General features: G+C 42.2%; 1 long non-coding RNA gene and 1 pseudogene across 1 annotated transcript, besides 1 other annotated feature; one reads left to right on the plus strand and one right to left on the minus strand.

The window, feature by feature from the left end:
• On the plus strand, window positions 1-3,623 carry LOC124905254 (uncharacterized). Its single transcript, XR_007068404.1, has 2 exons — window positions 1-48; window positions 986-3,623. It is a non-coding gene; the product is annotated as an uncharacterized LOC124905254 (long non-coding RNA).
• Window positions 891-1,814: an enhancer, noted in NCBI's record as "H3K27ac-H3K4me1 hESC enhancer chrX:18851133-18852056 (GRCh37/hg19 assembly coordinates)". NCBI's record gives its function as "activates a minimal SCP1, AML or CMV promoter by ChIP-STARR-seq in naive H9 embryonic stem cells {active_cell/tissue: H9 hESC(naive)}" and the evidence as "EXISTENCE:reporter gene assay evidence [ECO:0000049][PMID:30033119]".
• On the minus strand, window positions 3,388-7,356 carry BLOC1S6P1 (BLOC1S6 pseudogene 1; annotated as a pseudogene).

Consider the following 15,185-nt stretch of genomic DNA (forward strand, 5'->3'; position numbering starts at 1 on the left):
ATCTCTATGTTAACCACCAAGACTGACAGGCCTCCGAAGACAGCTCTGGTAAGTTTCTACTGGTTAGTTTTTGCCCTGTTTGTTAAAAAGCTCTGCCCTGAAGGCAATGATCTAAGTAAGGAACAGGATTTTGAAATTCTTTCTAAGAGAAATTTATATCTGTAAAGGAAATCTCCATTTGTAAGGCTATCTCCCTCTCTGCACCTAAACCATTAGAAACTTTTACAATGAGAAAGGCACTGGCTTAAAAGCTTGCATATCAACGTTTACCTTTGTTTAAGTTGCTTTTCCTGTCCATCTTTTTTTTTTTCTGAGATGGAGTCTTGCTCAGTCGCCCAGGCTGGAGTGCGGTGGCGTGATCTTGGCTCACTGCAAGCTCTGCCTCCCGGGTTGGTTCACCCCATTGTCCTGCCTCAGCCTCCCCAGTAGCTGGGACTACAGGTGCCGGCCACCATGCCCGGCTAATTGTTTTTGTATTTTTAGTAAAGACGGGGTTTCACAGTATTAGCCAGGATAGTCTCGATCTCCTGACCTCGTGTTCCGCCCACCTCGGACTCCCAAAGTGCTGGGATTACAGGAGTGAGCCACCGCGCCCGACCGGGCAAATGAATCTTAATGAAAGCAATAAGATCTGCTTCTTTCTGTGTGTATGTTTGTATATCTATGTGTTATGTGTATCTGATATTTTCATACCAAAATATATAAAAGAGCTCTATTTAATTGGCTTAAAGAAAAAGTGTTTAAAGTCATTAATTATAAAGCAAGCATATTTTTCCCCTAAATTTACTAGTCAAACAAGCTTATTACCTCTTAGATGTATAATAAAGCTATAAAGCCAACCAAAGAGCAAAATACATGAAAAAAAAAAAAATCTTGATACCTATCAGTCATGGTGATACAGAAGGGCTGGGCTCCTGGCTAAACCCAACCCATAAGCCTGGAACCTTGGCCCTAAGTGAAAACAGCTGACCCCGTTTTTTTCCAGCCAAATGTTGCCGTTTTTGGCCTGCCCTGCCCCTATCCTTTGCCGATGAAAGACTTCAGCTGGCAGAGCAACACAAGTGGCTGAATGTCAAGGATACAAGCAGCTGAGTGGTGAGCAGAGAAGCAGTGCGCGTCAGAGACTATGGATAGACACGGCTAACTTCAGGCGGTGCGGCTTCGGAGAGGAGCCCAGCCAGAGACGGCCGGGCTTCAGGGAAAGATCACCCTCCCATCCCCTTTCCAGCCTCCCTTTCTGCTGAGAGCCACCCACCGCTCAATAAAGTCTGCATTCATCACCTTTCTAACAGTTCATCGGACATGAACCCAGGTTCTGAGAGGGCAGGGTTTGCCACCCTGACCCTCCACTGACCTGGTTGGCACTTGGCCATCCCCGGATGGCAGAACTGAAAGAGCATTGGTCGTAACATGCTTGGACGCTGCTGCAGGGCCCACAAGAGCCTGCTCCCACCAGAGAAGAGTGACCAGTCGGTCCCAGGATTCATTTGCTCTGGTTCCTGCACTCACTCGCTTGCACGCTCCCTCCTGCCAAGAGTAGCCAGTGCGGGCTGAGTGGAATGAGCTACTCCAGTTTCCGCCCACGAAGGAGTTCAAGAGAACTAACCCGTCCCAATAGGAAAGGGAAAAAAAGCAGAGTGGAAGAACCATGTTTAACCTATTAATCTTTTTGCTTCTGTAATACTTATAGTTTCCTGATTTTTTTGAAAAATAACTTGAGGTGATGGCTAGCTTTGCTTAATGAACAACTCAAGCATAATTGTTAAAAATGAGTAAATTAGGTGTATGTAAATGGTATACAAATTGATAAATGAACTTTTCAGTTTTGAAAACCTTTTACCGTAACTTAAAGTCCTGTTATGATTAAGTAATATTCATGAACTGTCTGAGTCATTTCCAATTAAGTTAGAATACTGAAACATTAATTTGAACGTAACTTTAAATTTATTTTTGGCTTCTTAAATTTTATAGAAAGACTAAATATGGCTGGGTGCAGTGGCTCATGCCTGTAATCCCAGCACTTTGGGAGGCCGAGGTGGGCGGATCACGAGGTCAGGAGTTCCAGATCAGCCTGGACAACATGGTGAAACCCCGTCTCTACTAAAAATACAAAAATTTGCTGGGCGCGGTGGTGGGCTTCTGTAATCCCAGCTACTCAGAGGCTGAGGCAGGAGAATTGCTTGAACCCAGGAGGTGGAGGTTGCAGTGAGATCGCGCCACTGCACTCCAGCCTGGGTGACAGAGCAAGACTCTGTCTCAAAAAATAAGATAAAATAAAGACTGAATATATTTTAGTCTATTTAAAGAAAAGCTATGGAAAAATAAATATATTTTGGTCTGTTAATATGAAAAATTGTACTTTGAGAAAGTGCATATTTCTAGAAATTATGAAACTTAATTTATAGAATACTGATTCACAATTGCTAAGGATTAAAAATTCCAATAATAAAACTACTATAAAGGAATTCTGTATGCAAACTAAAGAAAGTAAGATGTGTTTTGGTGAGGAAAAAATAGAAGGATACTTTTTTCTTAAAAAGAATAATTTTGTCTAATTTGGAGGTTATTTAAAAGTTGTTTCAAAATAAGGATTTTGGAAGGAAATAGAAATGAGGTAGGGAGGAACCAGTAAGAGGGATGTCAAGAAAGTTACAAGTATGAAAACGTATGTTTGGCTTAAAAAAAAGTTGAAAAGAGAAAAAGTAATTTTTTTTTTGTATGAGGAAGAATTTGTGTTGTCAAAATGATAAGGGAAAAAGGAAAGTAAATTTTTGTCATAAAGTAGAATGATTGGTTGTTCCAATATGAAAAAGAAGGAAGTATAGAACAAAACTGAAGGTTTAAGCAAGTTGTACAAGATTTGAGCAAGTTCTAAGAGATCTGAGCAAGTTGTAGGTGTGTAGGAGATGAATCCTATGAAAAGAATTTTGTAGGCCAGGCGAGGTGGCTCACACTTGTAATCCCAGCACTTTGGGAGGCCGAGGTGGACGGATCACTTGAGGTCAGGAGTTCGAGACCAGCCTGGCCAACATGGCAGAACCACGTCTCTGCTAAAAATAAAAAAATTAGCTGGGTGTGGTGGTGCATGCCTGTAATCCCAGCTACTCGGGAGGCTGAGGCAGGAGAATCACTTGAACCCGGGAGGCAGAGGCTGCAGTGAGCCGCAACTGCGCCATTGCACTCCAGCCTGGGTGACACAGCAAGACCCTGTCTCAAAAAAAAAGAATTTTGTATGTGATCAAGTTGGCAAAAATTGGAAGGGAATTATTTATAGGGTTTTCTAAAAATTAAGCTTTGAGATCAAAAGTACACTAATACAAAACTAAAATTTAGTCCCCTATGTTAAAACAAGGTTTTCTTAGAGTATTCATCTTTTTTTTTTTTCCGGAGACCTTTTTTTGTATTAAATGTGTAAACAGTAGTCCTCATTTTACAAATTCAAAATCAGACAAATGTATGAGGGTGTATAATTGGTATATTTATAAACTGTATCACCCAAAAAACCACTGCGATCACAATCTATATTACATTCAACGTTTGCGTATTTACATGATACTTACTGCAAAGTAAATACAAAATGAACTCCCATCATCTTAGTTCAGAACACAGGTGATATAATTTCAGAACAAAGGCAGTTTTTTCAACAACAACAACAACAAAAAAACAGAAGTCTCCCAAGTACCAATTCGCTATTTTGTGGAAAAATACAGAAAGACTAATTATGAGTTCCATTCAGGTTTAGTCAGTAAGATATGTTGTTTGTTTTTTTTAGAGACAGGGTCTCACTCTGTCATCTGGGCTGGAGTGCAGTGGTGCAATTATAGCTCACTGCAGCCTCGAACTCCTGGGCTCAATGAGTCCTCCCACCTCAGCCTCCTAAAGCACTGGGATTACATACATGAGATACCACACTCAGTCTAGTAAGATATGTTTTTGTTATTGAAATACAGCTAAAGTTATAGATTTTAATCACCAAGATAACAGTACTTCTGGTTTATAATCGACCTTAAGATAGTGGATACTAATATATATACATTTTGACATTTTTTTAAAAAGTCTTCAAAACTTAATACAATTCTGAAAGTATATGTACCTTGCCATCCGTTCAATAAACATGATTTATTTTTATACAGGTCACAAAATTTCAATTAACTAGAATTCTATATCTATTGCCTGCCTGCTAGGTTTCAGTCTTAAGTCTGACTATATCAAAAACAGCAGTTCAGAATTTATTTCATAAAATTAATCCCAAAAGTTACTGGGTAGCTTTTAAAGTATTTTATTGTTTATAATACAACTCACTAGATAGTCTATACCGGTGGCTCCTGACATCAGAATTATCTGGGGAGCTCTTTAAAAAATACATGGGATCCACATCATAGCTAATTACACTAAAAGAATTGAGAATGTCTGTATTTTTTAATGTTCCCAGGTGATAATGCTGTGCAGCCTAGTGTGGGAAACCCTGACCTACCACTGAGCCTGTGGTTCTCAATTTTTCAGGTGCATTGGAATCACTGGGGGAAACTTTAAAAACTAAAAGCAAGGCAAAACAAAAAACCAGATGTGCTTCAGTAGATTGAGAGTAGTGTGCAGGAACCAGCATCTGAAACAACCATTGCAGTTGGTCCAAAATGACCCAGAAACACTGCACCCCCTCTGTCAGATATCACATTACAATGAGTACATTCAGCAATTTAGGTGACATTGTCCTGCAAGCCCTAATGAATCCTGCCCTAGGCAGTTTTAGCAAGTGTTTGAGGGCACCACTCAGCCTTTTCAAAGAAAATATATTTATACTCTTAAATATTAGGTCAAAGTCAACTGAATTGTGAGATCATCATTCATTAAAGAAGACAAATGCCCTTTCAAACAATTTAAACTTTTTTTTTTTTTTTTTTGAGACAGAGTCTTGCTCTGTCACCCAGGCCGGACGCCAATGGTGCCGTTTCAGCTCACTGCAACCTCCGCCTCCCGGGTTCAAGCAATTCTTCTGCCTCAGCCTCCCAAGTAGCTGGGACTACAGGTGCGTGCCACCACACCTGGCTAATTTTTGTATTTTTGGTAGAGATAGGGTTTCACTATGTTGGCCAGGCTAGTTTCGAACTCCTGACCTCATGATCTGCCCACCTCGGCCTCCCAAAGTGCTGGGATTACAGGCATGAGCCACCGTGCCTGGCCACAATTTAAACTTTTAAACAAACCAGTTCTTAGCCCTGAACTTAAATCCAATGCTTTCTCCATCATTAGCCTGATACGTGATCAGAGGTAGTGATTCCAGCTTACCAAAAATATAATGTGGATTATGGAAGATACACATTCATACACTTTTACAGGCTCTGCACAGTCCCTATGTAATAGAGATTGGAGACCAGTTGGATATTAAATAATACTGTAAAACAGTAAATAATACACTCTTGATTTTAAACAATGAAACCTCATAATATTTTCCTCACATAGTAAGTTTCTACATATAGTATCCAGAAAAAAATCTAGAAAACACTAAAGGTATCATGCTACCTCTTTGTGAAACTATTTACTAATTTTTCACCATCTCTATCATTATAAAGTGGGTCGTTGCTATACATCATTCCACTTCAAGAATTTTTTTTTTTTTTTTTTTGAGACGGAGTTTCGCTCTTGTTGCCTAGGCTGGAGTGCAGTGGCGCCATCTTGGCTCACTGCAACCTCTACCTCCTGGGTTCAAGCAATTCTCCTGCCTCAGCCTCCCGAGTAGCTGGGATTACAGGCATGTGCCACCACACCGAGCTAATTTTGTATTTTTAGTAGAAACAGGGTTTTACCATGTTGGTCAGGCTGGTCTCGAACTCCTCACCTCAAGGGATCCACCTGCCTCGGCCTCCCAAAGTGCTGGGATTACAGGCGTGAGCCACTGCGCCCGGCCTAGATGTAATCTTTGAACCCAAAAGCTTCAAAAGCAGTGACAACGACACTGGTTAGTAGAATCTATCTGGCATCTTGCTCACCTGAACTACACCTGAACTGCTGTTATTTCCTGTGCGTGCACTTTTCCATTATGTTCTTCACAAGGCTCACCTCTTTTCCAGGGGTAGATGTGATTAAACAGCTGGCATTTCTTCTTAACTAAGCAATGAAAAGACAATTACTAAAAATCAGCATTGTATTGCCAGAAACGCAAGCCAGTTCATAAAATAAGAACTGGAAAGTTTTAAATCTATATTCATTAAGAAGCTAAAAAATTCATTTGAATTTTTAACCACTTAGAGTCTAGACTCATAATAAACCATTTTCCAGTTTATAAATGATTCAAGGTCAAAATAGTACATTTTAAAATTAAATAAAATTTGAAAAACTTACATATAAATATCAAAAACAAAGCAGTATGATGTCTACTATTTAGGAAGAAAGGCATGGAGACACAGTAATCCTGGAATAAGGATTTCAAGATCTGACATAACGGTATAAGCCACTACCTCAACTTCAGTCTACACTTAAGCCATCTTAATCCAAATATAGGATAGGAGAAGAAAACACACAAACACAAATTGTCACGTCCTTTTAGCTGGTCTGGCAGTTAACTAATTTTCTCTTTCAAACTCCTCTCATTGCTGCTCTTTTTCCAACTCTTTTTTGCCTCCTTTGCTGCAGTTTAAGTCCTTTTTTTTTTTTTTTTTTTTTTTTTTTGAGACAGGGTCTTGCTCTGTCACCCAGGCTGGAGTGCAGTGGCACGATCTCGGCTCACTACAACCTCCGCCTCCCGGGTTCAAGAGATTCTCCTACCTCAGCCTCCCAAGTAGCTGGGACTACAGGCTTGCACCACCACGCTTAGCTAATTTTTGTATTTTTATTAGAGATGGGGTTTCACCATATTGTCCAGGCTGGTCTCGAACTCCTGACCTGAAGTGATCCGCCCACCTCAGCCTCCCAAAGTGCTGAGATTACAAGCCTGAGCTACCATGCCTGGCCTGTGCTCTTTTTTTAAAAATTTGATGTTTTTTTCATGAAGCATCAGCATCTCTTTTCTTATATTCACCAACTCGGCAGGATAGTATTTAGCCTCAGCAAACAAAGCATTAATATCCAACATAGAATGACAGTCTTTAAATTTTGAAATCTCTTGTTCCAGTGTGTCTGACAATACAACCTGGTTCTGTGTGAGCTCCTGGAGGGTTTGTTTTGATCTGTGCAGATCTGGCAGTTGCTCCACAGCCTTGTTTTATAGTCAAGTCCTCTATTAACCCTTCATCTAGAGAAGTGTCACTTAAACCCAGCGTGGGCTCCCGGGATTCCAGGCTGTTGGGTGGCCTTATCAGGGCCCCGTCCAAGGACAATGGCCCAAGGACACTCGTGTCCCTCCAGCTAGGAACAGGGAAGGGGCCTCATCTGCTTTTTTTTTTTTTTTTTTTTTGAGACAGAGTTTCACTCTTGTGCCCCAGGCTGGAGTGCAATGGCATAATCTCCACTCACTGCAACCTCCACCTCCCAGGTTCAAGCAATTCTCCTGCCTCAGCCTCCTGAGTAGCTGGGATTACGGGTGTGTGCCACCATGCCAGGTTAATTTTTGTATTTTTAATAGAGATTGGGTTTCACCATGTTGGTTAGGCTGGTCTCGAACTCCTGACCTCATGATCCGCCCACCTCGGCTTCCCAAAGTGATGGGATTACAGGCATGAGCCACCGTGGCCAGCCCTGTTTTTCAGATTTAAGAACACTTTTTTCTTTTAAGCTACCTATAGTTTACAACAATTTGATAAAGTTTATTTTTGTAAACAAAAATTGAAGGCCAAGGTGGGTGGATCACCTGAGGTCAGGAGTTTGAGACCAGCCTGGCCAACATGGCGAAACCCTGTCTCTACTAAAATACAAAAATTAGCTGGGCGTGGTGGCACATGCCTGTAGTCCCAGCTACTCGGGAGGCTGAGGCAGGAGAATCGCTTGAACCCAGGAGGCAGAGGTTGCAGTGAGCCAAGATCACGCCACTGCACTCCAGCCTGCGTGACAGAGTAAGACTCCGTTTAAAAAAAAAAAAAAAAAATTGAAACATTTGCTTTTTCTTCCTACCTTATCCTCCAGAATTTGGAAACTATTCATGAGTATTCTTATTTTTATGGCAATCTGGTTATTCACATAAGTTCAATAAGCATTTGCTTGCTTTATAACAGGATACAATTGACAACACTGGTTAAAATACTAAGGCTTTGACTGGACTGTCATATTTGAGAATGCGCATAAAATGCCTGCTTTCAAGGGTTCCCAGCCTTACAGTGTGGAAAAAAAGTCACTCTCAAGATATTAGATACTGCAGGCAAAGTCTGATGTCTGCCTTAGTTTGGCTTTTTATTATTGAGTGGTTTTAATTTTAATTTTAATTTTATTTTATTTTTGAGACAGTCTCGCTCTGTCGCCCAGGCTGGAGAGCAGTGGCACAATCTCGGCTCACCGCAACCTCCGTCTCCCGGGTTCAAGCAATTCTCCTGTCTCAGCCTCCTGAGTAGCTGGGACTACAGGCACGTGCCACCACGCCCGGCTAATTTTTGTATTTTTTAGTAGAGATGGGGTTTCACAATGTTGGCCAGGTTAGTCTCAAACTCCTGACCTCAGGTGATCCACCCACCTCGGCCTCCCAAAGTGCTGGGATTACAGGCGTGAGCCACCGCGCCCGGTCTATTATTGAGAGGTTTTAAAAAGTCCAGTGTGGGACTCCTTACAAAATTTCCAACCAAGCAGCTTTTAAAAGAACCTAAGTGATTATTCTTGCTGCGTTTATGTAAAACAACCAGGCCAAGTTTAATGAGAGTAAACTTATTTTGCAAACAAATTAGTTTACCTCTGATTAGTAGGAATGAGAGTGACTGTAGAGAGAAAAATTGTGTTTCAGAAGAACAAATGTAGTACCCCGTTACTAGATCATAGCCCTGTTCACTGTGTTTGAGTTTTTATTATCTACTTGTAGACTGGACTTGTTTCTGAATTCTAGTTTCCTCCAATAACTGGCTATAAAACTCCAACTAAGAACAAAAACTGCTCTGTTCCTAAAGCCCTATAAGCTGAAGCTGAACAACTCATTGTAAATTTGGGAAGGGACAAGTCTCATGCCTGATGTGTGGGCCACACAAAGAGTTCACCAGAATGCCCAATGTTACAACCAGAAACATTGAAACTGCAAACCAGGATGCGAAGCTGCCAACTTCACACTGTGGACAGCTTTCCCGAGACAATCGGAAGAAGCCTCCCTATCCTAAGACTCTTACTCCTCTGAATTTTTCTTTGCTTATTCTTACCTCTTTCACTTGGCAGAATGATGCCGTAGTTAGAATTTCAGTCAGTAGCTTTTGCAGGTCACTTGCAAATGGTCACTCTTTGCTTTAATTTCACCCAGTCATGGGATGGCGGATAATAAAATTGCTGCCTACTGCCATCTGTACAGTTGCTAACACTTCTTGTTGCTCAGGGATAAATCCATCAGGTATTGGAGACTCAGTTGCAAAAATTAACAGGCTACTTGGTTATGATGGTAGACCCCTCATCTGGCTCCTTCTTTGATCTACTTAATTTTAGTTGGGTTGGTTTATGGGAACCTTGGCTAAGAACCATACTCCAAATTCTAGGTATTATCCTCCTGATAGTTACAATAGTAGTCTCCGTAGTGCACTGTATCCTCTCAAAAAGTTTTAAATGTTTGAACACAGCCATTTGTCAAGCATGAAATGGTCTCTCATCTGCTGGAATGACAGAAACTCAGAGAAGTGTGTGATCATGAAGATACCATCACCTGTGATTGATATATTGAGACTAGAAACCCAGATGATGGTAACTGAGAGCAGCGCTGATGCCCTAAGTTTTGGTGGCACTCTCACCTAGGGGAGAGCCTGATCAAAAGAGGAGAAAGGTGTTAAACAAAAATCTGGAGGAGGCCATTGTTTTCAACTAAGCAACAAACAGACCAGACTAAAAATCAAAGTGGAGTCACTCATGCTGAAGTGCCACATCACCAAACCAAAAATGAGTTGTTAGCTGGCCTTCCAAAAAATCAGGATAGTGAAACAGCCTCATTTCCCAAATGGGCCAATTTCCACCCAAGTGATAATGAAGTTCCCTCTGCCTTTAATCCTTAAAACAAAAAGTAATCTGAAACTGGCCGGGCACGGTGGCTCATGCCTGTAATCCCAGCATTTTGGGAGGCCGAGGCCGGTGGATCACTTGAGGTCAGGAGTTTGAGACCAGCCTGGGCAACACATGGTGAAACCCCATCTCTACTAAAAATACAAAGTTAGCCAGGCATGGTGGCAGGCACTGTAATCCCAGCTACTCAGGAGGCTGAGGCAGGAGAATCACTTGAACCCAGGAGGCGGAGGTTGCAGTGAGCTGAGTTCATGCCACTGTACTCCAGCCTGGGCAAAACTCCGTCCCCCCGCCAAACAAAAAAACAGGAAAAAAAAAAGTAAGGAAAAGAAAATGTAATCTGAAGTAACCTGGTGTTAACCAATCAATTCCAATCAGTTATTTGTCTAGTGTTCTGTTTCTCTGTTTCTACCTTACAAGGAAAGTAACTTGGAGGAGACCAATCTGCTTTCACTCTTTGGTTCCGCTTTGCTTTCTTCAGCTTTTCTCTGTCCATACCAACCTCCTCTGCTCAACTCATTGGAACACTTACTCTAATTTTATGGAATGAAGTGTTGCCTGATTCTAGAATCACAAAGCCAAGTAAGATCTTTAAATTGTAATGTTGCCGTGAGCCACCACGCCCGGCCCCATGGACTATTTTCTATGGAAAAATATAACTCAAGAACAAAAGGAGTGTCTGAAGAGACATATAACCATTAAAGAAAGTGATGGCTTTGTAATTGTGTCAGTTTGGCTAGGCTGAACTACCTTTCTCAGAATTCCCTCTCTTGTATGTTTCTGGTTAGGGTGGGCCAGGAGATTTGGGAGGTAAAAGGAAAGGAGTTGCTATTTTGCAGCTTACACATGCTGTGGCTGATCTGCAGATTCACCTCATTGGTGTGAAACAGTAGCTAGGCCTGCAATTGCTCTACCTACCCCTGGATCCTATCAGCTTCTCTGATTTCTGGGCTGTGTACATGTGTTTAGCTCCATGACCGAAAGCCTTGGCTTCTGCAGGGCAACTCGATGACCAAGGTCAGAGATGGTAAGAAAGGACACAGGCTTCAGTTCATTTTTGTGGGGTGCCAGCTTGTGCTTGTGGGTTTTAGCCTGCTCGTGATCTTCCTTCCTGACTACCTGCCCTGTAGACTTTGAGCTCCAGCATCAGATATGGAGACCACATCTGGTTTCTACTGGTTATCTACCTATAAATCATCAATCACCTATCTGCCTACCTACCTATCTGTATCTTCTTCTGGTTCTGCCTCTGGTTGAACCCAGACTGACACAGAATTTGGTACTGAGAGTAGTTCCAGAAGAACAGAATCTTAAAGATAAGTGCTCTGAATTGGTTCTGGGTTTTCTGAAATTGGTTCCCTACTCTGATTTGATTTAAAGGTACGAGTAGCCCTGTTTCCAGTGCTAAAGAGGTACTTGTACTCCACAGTGTGAAGTGGCAAAATAGTTACTCAAATTATCACCTTCAGATACTTGCGATCAAGTACCTATAGAAGGCAAACCTCTAGGAGAACAAGTATTTGCTACTTTTAACATTTTAGTCAAAAGGATGAGTATAATAGGGTTGGTTGGTTGGTTGTTTACTGAAGAACTTGGGTAAAGAAAGTGATCAGCTCAAGGTCTACATAAAGGACCTGAATGTTTCTAAAACTACCAGGAAAGAAACTCTTATCTCCTATAGCCACAAGGCTTAGATTTCTGAAAGCCAAACCCGAAGTCTAATCCTGTGAATGCTTGAATGACAATACAAATTGAACTCCCAACCTCTTAGGGTATGTTGCTGAAAGGACAATGATTGGGAAGGAATGGCAGCCTGAAAATTGGAATGGAGACCGGTTAGAAATGCTTGTTCCCCGGTGCCGTAAACAACCAGCACTTGAACATAAATTTAATTTCCTCAGCAAGGCCATTTTTTCACTTTCTGCAGAAAGGGTACACTCGCCAGCAATTTTGCTGTAAGAGTACACCGAACAGAGGAGACAGGGTCATTTAACCTGACGTGTCCACCCTACTGCTGTGTCTGGTTTCCATTGGCTGGAATGGGACCTCAAATTCTGTATTTGTCCTGACTGGCTAGCAACTTAAACTTTTTTGTGTGTGTGTTTTTTTTTTTGTTTTTGAGACGGAGTCTCGCTCTGTAACCCAGGCTGGAGTGCAGTGGCACAATCTTGGCTTACCCCAGTCTCCGCCTCCTGGGTTCAAGTGATTCTCCTGCCTCAGCCTCCCGAGTAGCTGGGACTACAGGCGCATGCCACCATACGTGGCTAATTTTTTTGTATTTTTAGTAGAGACAGGGTTTCACTGTGTTAGCCAGAATGGTCTCAATCTCCTGACCTTGTGATCTGCCCGCCTCAGCCTCCCAAAGTGCTGGGATTACAGGCGCGAGCCACAACGCCCGGCCTGCAACTTAGAACTTTCTAAAAGAGGGAAAGGCAGAGGAGAACAAAGGAAGGAGGAAGTAACTTGTGGAATGCTGAGAAAGGTAAAAACACCTTCAAATAAGGAAGAGGAACAGGATATGACCTAATGCTTGCTTGGGCCAGTATAAGCATGCCAGGGCAAATATTTAGGCTAAATTGTGGAAGCTAAGAACATAAAGTACATTGATTTCTTTATTACGGCTAGCAGATATTTAAGAATGTTAGCACAGGTCTTTGAATAAATTTTGCTTCTAAGAGAAGTTACTATTTATTCCTAATTAGATGGGGAGGAAAGTCTTTGAAGAGGAACCTCTAGTTTACTGTTTCCAGGACCCACCAGCAGATTTTGATTCTTATTTTCCTTTCCTGGAGAAGCAGCCCTGCCATCCCTGCCTGAGGAGGGTACTTTTCCCCTTTTGGGGCCTGGAGGACCTGTAATGGCCTCCCCTGAATTAGTTGCCTTACAAGGCACTACTGATCCTTCTCAAGTCCTACCCCCACCACCTCTCTCTATTTGGATGTGCTTCTATGAGCCTATATGGAAGATCAGAAGTGCTCGAAGGACTCAAGAGCATTGAAATGGTAAATGTGTGAGTAAAATCTAAATGAATAATAACCTCTTATAAGAGTTAAAATAAGAGTAAAATTACAGAGACTAAATGATAACAATAGTTAGTACATAAGTTGATGAGAGAATAAATGGAGTTAAAGGGTTCTAAGGTCTTTTTATTGTCTAAAAACACGGTCAAAGCAACAATTAACATTAGATTGTGATGTCAAGAATGCATGTTGTAATCTCTAGAATAACTGGTTTAAAAAAATAGTAAAGGTATATAATTTCCAATCTATAGAGAGATGGAATAATAACAATTTTAAAAAGAAGTCAAAAGGGAAAAAGAATATAGAAGAGATAAGCCAAACAGTAATATGGTAGATTTAAATCCAAATATTCAGTATAAATTGATTAATTATCCCTGTCACGGAAACTATCACCTTTGATGGTTTAGGACCACTTCCAACTAAACAAACTCAGGCCTCTGGAGGAAGGCCTAGTCATCCCAATTAAATTCATCATAAAGTAGCCAGCCCCAGCTAACCCACCAGCCAACTGAAGATGCATGAATGAGTTCAGCTGAGATTACCTGAACCCATCCAGGCCAGAAGAACTGCACAGTTGAAGCTAGCCCAAATTGCTGATGTACAAAGTTATGGTCTTATGAACCCCCAAAATTTGAGACAGGTCTCAGTTAATTTAGAAAGTTTATTTTGCCGAGATTGAGGGCACGTGCCCATGACACACCCCCAGGAGGTCCTGATGACATGTGCCCAAGGTGGTCAGAGCACAGCTTGGTTTTACACATTTTAGGGAGACATGAGACATCGATCAACACATGTAAGATGAATATTGGTTTGGTCCAGAAAGGGGACAACTCGAAGAGAGGAGGGGGCTTCTACATCACAGGTAGGCTAGAGACAAACGATTGCATTCTTTTGAGTTTCTGATCAGCCTTTCCAAAGGAGGCAATCACATATGCATTTATTTCAGTGAGCAGAGGGATGACTTTGAATAGAATGGGAGGCACGTTTTCCCTAAGCAGTTCCTAGCTTAGTGATTTTGGGGACCCAAGATACTTCCCTTTCACAGTCCAAATAAGTGATTGCTGGGTTTTTTGTTGTTGTTGTTAGTTTGTTTGTTTTGAGATGGAGTTTCGCTCTTGTTGCCTAGGCTGTAGTACAATGGCGTGATCTTGGCTCACCACAACCTCCGCCCCCCCAGTTCAAGCGATTCTCCTGCCTCAGCCTCCCGAGTAGCTGGGACTACAGGCATGCGCCACCACGCCTGAAGGGGTGGCCTGCCCCTCCGCACCTGTGGGCGTTTCTCGTCGGGTGGGGCGAGAGACTGAGAAAAGAAAGAGACACAGAGACAAAGTATAGAGAAAGAAAAGTGGGCCCAGGGGACCGGTGCTCAGCATACGGAGGACCCGCACAGGCACCAGTCTCTGAGTTCCCTCAGTATTTATTGATCATTATCTCTACCATCTCGGAGAGGGGGATGTGGCAGGACAATAGGGTAATAGTGGGGAGAGGGTCAGCAGGAAAACATGTGAACAAATGTCTCTGTGTCATAAACAAAGTTAGAAAATGTGCTGTGCTTTGATGTGCACATACATAAACATATCTGGTGCATTAAAGAGCGGTATTGCCGCCAGCATGTCTCACCTCCAGCCTTAAGGCGGTTTTCTCCTGTCTCAGTAGATGGAACATACAATCGGGTTTTACACCGAGACATTCCATTGCCCAGGGACGAGCAGGAGACAGATGCCTTCCTCTTATCTCAACTGCAAAGAGGCCTTCCTCTTTTACTAATCCTTCTCAGCACAGACCCTTTACGGGTGTCAGGCTGGTGGACGGTCAGGTCTTTCCCTTCCCACGAGGCCATATTTCAGACTATCACATGGGGAGAAACCTTGGACAATACCTGGCTTTCCTAGGCAGAGGTCCCTGCGGCCTTCCGCAGTGTTTGTGTCCCTGGGTACTTGAGAGTAGGGAGTGGTGGTGACTTTTAACAAGCGTGCTGCCTTCAAGCATTTGTTTAACAAAGCACATCCTGCATAGCCCTAAATCCATTAAACCTTAAGTCGACACAGCACATGTTTCTGC

Source organism: Homo sapiens, chromosome X (assembly GCF_000001405.40).
Source record: "Homo sapiens chromosome X, GRCh38.p14 Primary Assembly".
NCBI classification, from domain to species: Eukaryota; Metazoa; Chordata; class Mammalia; order Primates; family Hominidae; genus Homo; species Homo sapiens.